Consider the following 10,086-nt stretch of genomic DNA (forward strand, 5'->3'; position numbering starts at 1 on the left):
GCTTCATCACCTCCAACTGTTTTAGTTTGACATAAGTGACTCCATTTTGGTACCGGCAACGTTCACAACTTTCCATGTGACTTCAGCACCCTGCACCCCGATCCTTTCCCTGGCCACTTTGCAGGACCACTACCTATGAGACTATGGGTTCCTTGAGAGCTAGGGCTGGGTCTCATTCGCTCCTGAAACTTTCACCCAGCAGAGTGATGGCCCACGCCATGCATGACATGCGTTGCTCAATGACTGCATCCACTCAGCCAGTATGCCAGTCCCCACTGAGCCTCACTCTCAACCTCCCTGGCTGGCATAGGTTCCTTGTGCAGACATCCAGTGGCAGTAAAATATTGCTGGGTTCTCAGCTTCCCCCACCTGCAGCCCTCACTGGCCCACCCAGTTGTCCTGTCTCTGCTCAGGACGAGACCCCCCCCCGCCTCTTCAGTCTCTGTAGCCAGGTGATGGCAGTGGCCTTTTCCAGACCCTCACTGGCCCCTTAGTTCACTATGATGACTTCACCTCTTGGGAACCCATGGGGATGTCTTTCCCTCCAATACATCTACATTTGCCTGACCCAGAATGTAGTTTCAAGATGGGTCCATGCCTGGCTCCAAATCCCCTTATCAGAGTAAGGAAATACCTTAATTCCTAGTTTGCTAAAAACTCGTTATAAATGGCTGTCGCGTCATTTACTGTGTTCCTGTTCTGCAACCATTGAGATGGTCACGTGGGTTTTGCTCCTTTAATCTATTGATATGAATTACACTCTTGATTCTCTGGCATTGAAACTGCTTTGCAATTCTGAATTAAATCCAGTGTGGCACTTTGCTAAACTTGGTTTATTATTGTCTAAAATCTTGACATTGGTATTTGTAGGGACCAGCCCCACAGGGTCCGTGGGTCTCTCCCTCCCTGTGTGCAGCAATGAGAGAGTGTAGAAATACACACACAAGACAAAGAGATAAAAGAAAAGGCAGCTGGGCCCGGGAGACCACTACTACCAATGCTCGGAGACCGGTAGTGGCCCCGAATGTCTGGCTGCATTGTTATTTATTGGATACAAAGCAAAAGGGGCAGGGTAAAGAGTGTGAGTCATCTCCAATGATAGGTAAGGTCACGTGGATCACGTGTCCACTGGACAGGGTGCCCTTCCCTGCCTGGCAGCCGAGGCAGAGAGAGAGAGGAGACAGAGAGAAAGACAGCTTATGCCATTACTTCTGCATATCAGAGACTTTTAGTACTTTCACTAATTTACTACTGCTATCTAGAAGGCAGAGCCAGGTGTACAGGATGGAACATGAAGGCGGACTAGGAGCGTGACCACTGAAGCACAGCATCACAGGGAGACGGTTAGGCCTCCAGATAACTGCGGGCAGGCCTGCCGGATGTCAGGCCCTCCACAAGAGGTGGAAGAGCAGAGTCTTCTCTAAACTCCTCCAGGGAAAGGGACACTCCCTTTCCCGGTCTGCTAAGTAGCGGGTGTTGTTCCTTGATACTTTTTGCTACTGCTAGACCATGGTCCACCTGGCAACGGGCGTCTTCCCAGACGCTGGCGTCACCGCTAGACCAAGGAGCCCTCTGGTGGCCCTGTCCGGGCATAACAGAAGGCTCGCACTCTTGTCTTCTGGTCACACCTATGTCCCCTCAGCTCCTATCTCTGTATGGCCTGGTTTTTCCTAGGCTATGATTATAGAGCGAGGATTATTATAATATTGGAATAAAAGGTAATTGCTACAAACTAATGATTAATGATATTCATATGTAATCATATCTAAGATCTATATCTGCTGTAACTATTCTTGTTTTATATTTTATTATACTGGAACAGCTCGTGTCCTCTGTCTCTTGCCTCGGCGCCTGGGTGGCTTGCCGCCCACAGGTATTTGGTAACTTCCCTTTCTCTTACCTAGTTTTGGTATCAAAGCTAAGTTCACGAATGAAGTGTTCTCTCAATTGATTCTGTTAGAATTTGTCTACGTCTGGAATTACCTGTTCTCTATATCGTGGAACTTCCCTGTAAAACCGTCTAGGGGAACATTCTTAACTACTGACTCAATTTCATCAGTGATTACAACTCAGGCTTTCTATTACTTTTAGTCAGTTTTGGAGATTTTTCTTCCATTTACTTTGAGTTGTTCCAACTTAAGCTGCATGCTTATTTTTCTTTAGCTTTAAAAATACAGACATACAGCGTATGTGTGTATAAATGGCACTATTTATCTGTAGATGCACATACATTTAGGGGCTATGTTTTTTTGTGCTGCTTTAGCTCTGTTCCACAAATCTTAAATTTTTTCTTTTTGAGACAGTCTTGCTCTGTCACCCAGGCTGGAGTGCAGCGGCTCGATCTTGGCTCACTGCAGCCTCTACCTCCTGGGTTCAAGTGATTCTCCCGCCTCAGCCTCCCAAGCAGCTGGGACTACAGGTTTGCACCACCACACCCAGCTAATTTTTTATTTTTAATAGAGATGGGGTTTTATCATGTTGTCCAGGCTAGCCTTGAACTCCTGATCTCAAGTGATCCACCCGCCTCCCAAAGAGCTGGGATTGACAGCATGAGCCACCATGCCAGGCCCTGTTCCACAAATTTTAATACGTAGCATTTTCATTATCCTTTAGTCCCAAATATTTCTAATAGCCATTCGGAATTCTTTAACTCATAGGTAATTTATAAGTGTGTTTTAAAAATTCCAAATATGAAATGCCACTGCACTCCAGCCTGAGTGACAGAGCAAGACTCTATCTAAAAAACAAAAAAAAATAGCTCAAATTTTTTTTAATGACATTGGGATACGGTCAGATAACGACACTGATTCCTTGAAATATCTTAAGACTTCTTTTCTGGACAAAGTAGGTGGTCAGTTTCCATCCATGTTCCATATATGCATGGAAAGAGTATGTATTCTTTTCAGATACTGTTGTGTCTGTCTCTCAGCTCAAGCTCATGCTCACCTCACATCCTATCTTTCACAGGGCTTTTTCATCAGTTGCCTCTGTCTGGTAACAGTCACACCAGCTCCTGTTCAGTTACAGTCTTTGTCTCATAACCGGAGAGTTTCATCAAAAGAATTTTATTTACAGCTTTATCATCCATATGCCACTAAAATTCACCTGTTTTCTTTCAACCTGCACTCATTTTGATTGCCTGGAACTCTGGATTTAATTCTTCCATCCCACTTTGTATCTTGCATTCACTTCACTCTCTCTCCAGCTTTTATTCTTTCTTTCTCTTTCCCTAGGTCCAATGCACTTGACCCAACTCACATGCGTGGACTCCGGGAAGGTACTGCTCCCTCCCTCCAAATTCTGAGCAGTAAAATGCCGCCCCGGGGCACTGGGGAACAGAAAGGAATGAGACCCCAACAGGCAGAAGCCAAGAGAGCGGGGAGGAGCCATGGCGTTCTGCCCCAGGATGCACCACGCCTGGACGTGCTCCCCCGACTCCCAGTGCCAGGTGCCCATATGCCACACCTCAGGGTTGTCCTCTGTTCGGGTGAGCTGCGGACTAACGTGGCCCGGCAGCAGAGGCCACCGTCTTCTGTCCCGTGGCTCCTGCGAACACAGGCAGTGGGGAACAGGCAGTGACTGCCCACCCCCACCGTTCCTCCTCCCTGACCCTGCAAACCTCGGGGAAGCTTTCAGGCCCGGGAAAGCAGACCAGGCCCCAGTCTCCCTCACCCTTTCCCTGGGTCTGAAGGTCCCGGATCCTGCGTTCAAGGATGACGCTGAAACTCTCTCTTTCTCACATGGGATCTGTGATCTGGGCCCTCACAACTCAGCAGAGCACCACTGTGTCCCCCTCACATGGAGAGGCCGAGGTCTGTGGAGATCCTGGGACAGAGCCAGCGTCAAGGACTCAGAGGGTGTCCTGGAGTCTCCTAGGACGGAAGACGGCGGCCCCAGGTGGGAAAGACTCAGACCAGGCCTGCGCGCTCCAGGTCCTGCGGCAGGATGCGGCCCTTCTTGCGGGCTCTGAGCAGGCGGCGCTCGGCGCGGGCCGCCTTCTTCCTGCGCAGGTTCTGCCGCCGCCGGTCCTGGCGCTGCTGCATCTTCTCCACCACGCCGGCCGTGCGCTTCTCCCACCGGCGCTGCCGCTGCGCCCTGCGCTTCTCCTTGCGCTTCAGGGCCTCCTGCAGCAGGCGTTCGTCGTCACGGATCTTCACGCCCTCCGCCTTGTAGAGGAGGTTGGTCCACTTCATCTTCGCCTCCAGCTCCTGCGCCTTCCCCTCATCCTGGCCGCGCAGCTCGTCCAGCCGGCTCTGCCGTGCCTGCAGGCGCTCCAGCAGCTGCCGGTAGTTCCTCCCGGTCAGCGGCGTGAGGTTCCCCTTCACCCTCTGCCTCTTCTCTTTTCTGCGCTGCGCCTTGCTGGCCGGCTCGTCTTCGCTCACCTCCACCTGGGAGGAAGGTATGACATCAGCTCATGCCAGCCCTGCACTAGGCCCCAGCCTTGGCCAGTACCCTAAGGGACCTGCGAGGTCCCCGTCACCACCTTACAGACATGATGGGGTTCGGAGAGAGATCATGAAGCTAACAAGGGGCAACGCTGAGGCCTGAAGCCGACCCAGCCCGCCCAAGGACCCAGCTCCCGCTCACCTTATTGAAGATCAGCCCGGGCGGCTCCCGCGGCTCCGTGCAGGCCCCCTCTGGGGTTGCCTCCACCACCTCCTGGGCCTCCGTGGCCTCCTCAGCCTTCCTGGCCTTCTCTTTCGCCCGCAGCTCCTTTCGCTTCCTCTTCTTCCGGTCCCGTTCCTGCTTTCTCCGCCGCCTTTTCTCCAAGGCGGCAGGGGACAGCTCCTTGGCACTGCCCTGGGGGAAAGAGGCACCCACTCATTAAAGTTCTCTCGATCCCAGGGTCCCCCAGCCTGGCCCATAGTCGAGAAGAATCAGGGCTGGAAGGCAGGTGAGAAAATCCTCACGCAAACAAGGGGCCCGCGGAGTTCAATGTTCCACCATGATGTTCCCCAAAAAGCAAATGACCCCAAAAGAGAGAAGGGACCCCCAAATAAGAATCACAGCTTCCAATTCCCGGGTGCTTACCCCGTGCCAGGATACATTACGCACATGGTTTCAAATGTCATACATCGTTTTATAGATGAGGAGGGTCAAGACCACTGCCTAGAACTTGGAGTTGGCGTCTGAACACCTGTCCTGACCGCTGCCCATTCTGTTCACGAGGTACCCAACGAAGCCCTCCCCAATGGCCTTTCCCATCCCCGGGCCAACAAGAGCCCTACACCAGCCCAAACGAGACCTGTGCTTCAGGAACAAGGGCCCAGAGCCTTGCTCACCTCTTAGGAACCACACACTGTACCTCGGGATGGCGGAGGAGAGTAGCTGGGGACTGTCCCCCACACAGCACGAGGCCTTAAGGAAGGGCCCCAGGAAAAGGGTGGGTAGGGGCCAACACAGGGGAGACAGTACCATTCAGCACAAAGAGCTGCATTGGTGCTTCCTGTGCCTGGCCACTCAGCTCAAGTCCCTACTCAACTCACAGGACTATTACGACATTCAGAGAAACAGACACAGGAGGTGCCCATCCCAGTGTCAGTTCAGCAAAGGCAGCTTCCCAGAAGGAAGGAGGCTGATGAGCTTGGGGACTGAGGTTCTCCAAGAAAATAACTGCTCTCCCAGAGCACACCTGCTGGGGCCCTGCCAGACTCGCTGCAGAGGGGAGAACAGGGGCTACGGCCCCTCGCTGACAGCTGACCCCAGGGAGAACACAGGCAGAGCAGTGACGGCACTCCAGCAAACCTGCCCGCCTACCTGGCCCCGGGCCTCCTGGATCTTCTCATGCAGTCGCTGTCGCAGAACATCCAGAGCAAAGACAGACTCAGGCTCAGTGGCCAGGCCATCTGCAGGGAAGGAGACAGGACTGCAGGGGGCCCTCTCTTCCCCTCCCCCTCCCTCCCTAGGGCCACGAATCCCTGTCCCACTGTGGCCACTCATGGATCTGCAGGGCAATTCCAGTAAATTCCACTCCACCGCTTCAACCTGGACTGGTTCCTACAACATCCTCCAGAACAGGTAACTCAGTGCCTCACGAGGTAGGTCACCGTGGTATGAGAAAACACTTCCTACGGTGCAAGCCAAACCACCTCCTCCAAATTTTGTAGCCTGGGCCCCAGAACAAGTTGGCTCTCACAAGGCCCCTGCAGAGACCTGAGGGCAGGGAAGCTCTTCAAGCCAAGCTGCTCCAGGTCCTCAGAGAGACACAGCCTTGCCCCCTGACATCCTGCTAGCCATGTGGCCTGGAATGCCACACAGTTCCTTCGGTCCCATCCACCCTAGCACTCCTGTGATCTTTGCTCTTGGGGAAGTCTCGTGCTATCCCTGTGCGCCTGCTGCTGCTTTTTTTTTCTTAAGAGCAAAGGGGACCAAGCCCAAGCCCAGCCCCAGCCCCGCCCTGCACAGAACCAACATGCCCTGAAGCCTCTCACCTGCAGGGTTCCCTGCTGAGCTGGAAGCCCAAGCTGCTTCCTCTTTGGCTGCCTCAGGCCTCCTGGCCCCAGAGGCTGCTGGAGATTTCTCCCCCAAGGACTTGGCCTTGTGCTCAGCAGCCTTCTCTTCTCGCTTCCGGAATTTCTTTTGTGTTTTCTTCCTTTTCTTTTTTGGGGGCCCTGCAGTTTCTGAGCCTTGAGTTTTGCCAGCTGAAATGCAAAATAAGAAAGAGTTAAGTCCCAATCTCATGGCCCATTCAATAGGCAGGAAAGGCTCACCAAGGCTTTGATCCCAGGAAGATGCCGAAAGAGGATCAGGATCGGGGGCCAGAGACACTGATCCTAGAGCTCAGAACCACAACCTTGACCCAGTAGTTCTGCTTGTGAGAATTCATCAGGCACAAAGATGAGGCTTCAAGGACGTTCATCACCATTATTTGAGTGAAACATTAGAAAAACCTGAATATCCACCTCCACTAACAATTTCTGGCCCTGCTTTACAATAAGCTACCATGCTGCCATCAAACACAATGGCAAGGGCTTTCATTTTAGCTGCTGGGGGTTATGTTTACATTTTTTCTTTTTTGAGATGGAGTCTCAATCTGTTCCCCAAGCTGAAGTGCAGTGGCGCAATCTCTGCTCACTGCAAACTCCACTTCTCGAGTTCAAGCGATTCTCTTGCCTCAGCCTCCGGAGTAGCTGGGACTACAGGCGCCCACCACTGTGCCCGGCTAATTTTTGTATTTTTGGTAGAGACGGGGTTTCACCATGTTGTCCAGGATGGTCTTGATCTTCTGATCTTGTGATCCGCCCTCCTCAGCCTCCCAAAATTCTGGGATTACAGGCATGAGGCCGCACGGCCGGACAATGTTTACATTTTAAATGGGAGAAATCAGTCTAAGTAAAGTAGGAGCTGAATCGTTTTAATGAAAAAAAAAAAAAATTTCAAAAAGGATGAGAAAGACAGACGGAAGACATACTAGGTAATGAGAAAATTCACTTAAGATTTTGGATTTGCTATAACCAATATATCGTCCTTGAATAAAAAGGAAACCCCGTTTTACCTCTGGTGGTTCCAGAGACCCTGCTGCTCTCCTCTCCTCCTGGGCCCAGACAGCACTGACACGTCCCCGCTGTCGGCTTCCCCACCCGATTATCTACTTCCCTTGTGCAGCGTGGTCACCAGGCCATGAGAACCCTAAGCGCAGGAGCCCTCTGCCATCCTCCTCCTCCCCACACCGCACCATGCCCGTAGTGAAGGGACTGAAAGGGTCTTTTCCCACTGACTGACCATTACTCCTGTCTCTACTAAAAATGCAAAAAAAAAAAAAAAAATTAGCTGGGCGTGGTGGCGGGCGCCTGTAGTGCCGGCTACTCGGGAGGCTGAGGCAGGAGAATGGCGTGAACCCGGGAGACGGAGCTTGCAGTGAGCCGAGATCGCGTCGCTGCACGCCAGCCTGGACGACAGAGCGAGACTCCGTCTCCAAAAACAAAAACAAAAACAAAAAAAACAAATAAGGGAAACGGCGATAATTTCACAAGTCACTTAGATTTTTTTTCTAGTACTTTACAGACTCGTCTACACCGGCTCCGGCCGCGTCCCCCGTTTCGCAGGCCCCTTAGTCCCGGCCCGGCCCTGTGCGTTACCCCGCGTGCGCGCCTGCTGTTCCGGGGCCGAATGGGAGCAGATCTTCTTGGCCAGGCTCTGCAGGTAGGCGTCCTTGGCGAGTAGAGAGGCCATGGCGGAGACCCGGGCCGTTCACGACTCACACCTTCCCCGCTGCGCGTGCGACTCTCACCACCTCCGCCGGAAACCACCACACGGGCAGGCGCGGCCAAACGAACGCCGAGCCGCCAGCCCGCGCGCTCGATTAGCCAAGCCTGACTCCGCCGGAAGCGGCGCGCGGGGCGGGGCGCACAGCATTGCGGGCCGAGGACAGCCAATCTCCGCCCGGAGTCGGTGCAGCAGGGCACCCCCGGGGCCTGGCCTCAGTGCCTCTATCACCCCGGTCCCGCACGTGTTCCTGTGCTCCCCTCACCCCCAACCCCGACACAGCAGGCGCTCATGAGTAGGGGCGAAATGAATGAATGACCAGCAGTACATTCATTCCGTCCTTTGGAGTGGGGGGCCTCAGGTCTCAGGCGGACACAGACTGAGCGCCTGGCACGTGGCAGGCCCTAGGTTCAGTCCTAGGGGACACAAGCAGTGTGTCACACACACAGATGTGTTCTCGGCGAGTGTCTGCCGTAGAGGTGACTGATAAACCTGGCAAGCGTGTGACTGTCAGGTGAGGGGAGCGCCAAAGAAAGCCCAGGGGAAAAGGGAGAAGTGTTGGGCGGGAGGGAGCCTGCATGTTCAAGGAAGACCCCCTGGGCAGTGGCTTTTGCTCTGAAAAATAGAATTACACACTACGATTCCCTCCCCCACCCCGGTGACGGAGTCTCCCTCTGTCGCCCAGGCTGGAGTGCAGTGGCAAGATCTCGGCTCACTGCAACCTCCACCTCCCGGGTTCAAGCAATTCTCCTGCCTCAGCCTCCCGAGTAGCTGGGATTACAGACGTGTACCACCACGCCCAGCTAATTTTTGTATTTTTAGTAGAGACGGGGTTTCACCATGTTGGCCAGGCTGGTCTCGAACTCCTGACCTCAGGTGATCCGCCCACCTCCGCCTCCCATAGTGCTGGGATTGCAGGCATGAGCCACCGTGCCCAGCCCACACTGCGATTTTTAACACAAGATGTGGTCTTTATAATAACTCACTAGGGGCAGGAGAAAAGAGAGGTCATGGCCTGAGGCTTGGGACCACCACACCCCAGTTCCTGCACTGGAAAATTACAGGCTCATTAAGGACCCAGAGCCCCTTCCAGGGCCACCCCGTTGGTAGAGAAGGGAGAACTTAAGAGTCTTAAATTACAATTTGAAAAGGTGGCTGCTGATATATATATTAGAAACAGAACTGTTGTATTTGAAACAGAACTAAACTTTCTTCCCCTAACTTCTGCCATGAGGTGATTTAAAAAAATTTTTTTGGCCAGGCGCAGTGGTTCACGCCTGTAATCCCAGCACTTTGGGAGGCCAAGGCGGGAGGATCACTTGAGCCCTAGAGTTGGAGACCAGCCTGGGCAACATAGTGAAACCCTGTCTCCACACACAAAAAAATTTAAAATTAGCCAAGCGTGGTGGCCGGCCCCTGTAGTCCCAACTACTCAGGAGGCTGAGAAGAGACGATTGCTTGAACCGGGGAGGCAGAGGTTACAGTGAGCCAAGATCACGCCACTGCATTCTAGCCTGGAGTGCCAGGCTGTCTCAAGATATATGTATTTTTTTCACTTTTAAAAAAGGCAGTCAAATTTAGCAGTGTGGGGGTCGAATGCCAACTATAGTGACACTAAGGTTAATTAGTTCTGACATCCCACTGCCATTCAGACCAGCCTAGAGGTGATGTTTCATGGAGGATAGGCGTGACGCTGCTGCTGACTCCCCTGAACTGCTGGGTATCTTAACACCATCACCTACTGAGTTCAGAATGGGCATCTGACCCCCCAAGCCCCATCTCTTCCTCTCACTGTCAACCCTTTTTTCAGTTAAAGCGGCTCCATCCTTCCAGGTGCTTGGGCCAGACCTTGAAACCACTGACTCCTTTCTTATTCCCCAC

General features: G+C 52.9%; 1 protein-coding gene across 3 annotated transcripts, besides 4 other annotated features; it reads right to left on the reverse strand.

Moving 5' to 3' along the window:
* Positions 1–815: 815 nt before the first annotated feature.
* Positions 816–8,228, reverse strand: SURF6 (surfeit 6). 3 transcript variants are annotated; one of them, NR_103874.2, is made up of 5 exons: positions 8,079–8,228; positions 6,432–6,641; positions 5,758–5,793; positions 4,588–4,800; positions 816–4,388 (listed from the first exon to the last, which is right to left on the reverse strand). NR_103874.2 is itself a non-coding variant. In NM_006753.6 (5 exons), exons 1-5 carry the CDS (start codon positions 8,170–8,172, stop codon positions 3,909–3,911), a joined length of 1,086 nt encoding a protein of 361 aa, NP_006744.2. In that variant the 5' UTR covers positions 8,173–8,228; the 3' UTR covers positions 816–3,908. The 3 variants fall into 3 exon arrangements, 2 of the variants coding, with proteins under 2 accessions (NP_006744.2, NP_001265871.1); NM_006753.6 differs by having other exon boundaries at positions 5,758–5,846; NM_001278942.2 differs by having other exon boundaries at positions 4,588–4,795; positions 5,754–5,846.
* Positions 7,235–8,205: an enhancer, noted in NCBI's record as "H3K27ac hESC enhancer chr9:136202031-136203002 (GRCh37/hg19 assembly coordinates)". NCBI's record gives its function as "activates a minimal SCP1, AML or CMV promoter by ChIP-STARR-seq in primed H9 embryonic stem cells {active_cell/tissue: H9 hESC(primed)}" and the evidence as "EXISTENCE:reporter gene assay evidence [ECO:0000049][PMID:30033119]".
* Positions 7,488–7,587: an enhancer, noted in NCBI's record as "active region_29234". NCBI's record gives its function as "activates an Ori minimal core promoter by ATAC-STARR-seq in GM12878 lymphoblastoid cells {active_cell/tissue: GM12878}" and the evidence as "EXISTENCE:reporter gene assay evidence [ECO:0000049][PMID:35858748]".
* Positions 7,868–7,987: an enhancer, noted in NCBI's record as "active region_29235". NCBI's record gives its function as "activates an Ori minimal core promoter by ATAC-STARR-seq in GM12878 lymphoblastoid cells {active_cell/tissue: GM12878}" and the evidence as "EXISTENCE:reporter gene assay evidence [ECO:0000049][PMID:35858748]".
* Positions 8,206–9,176: an enhancer, noted in NCBI's record as "H3K27ac hESC enhancer chr9:136203003-136203973 (GRCh37/hg19 assembly coordinates)". NCBI's record gives its function as "activates a minimal SCP1, AML or CMV promoter by ChIP-STARR-seq in primed H9 embryonic stem cells {active_cell/tissue: H9 hESC(primed)}" and the evidence as "EXISTENCE:reporter gene assay evidence [ECO:0000049][PMID:30033119]".

The sequence above is a fragment of the Homo sapiens genome, chromosome 9 (genome assembly GCF_000001405.40).
Source record: "Homo sapiens chromosome 9, GRCh38.p14 Primary Assembly".
Taxonomy (NCBI): Eukaryota; Metazoa; Chordata; class Mammalia; order Primates; family Hominidae; genus Homo; species Homo sapiens.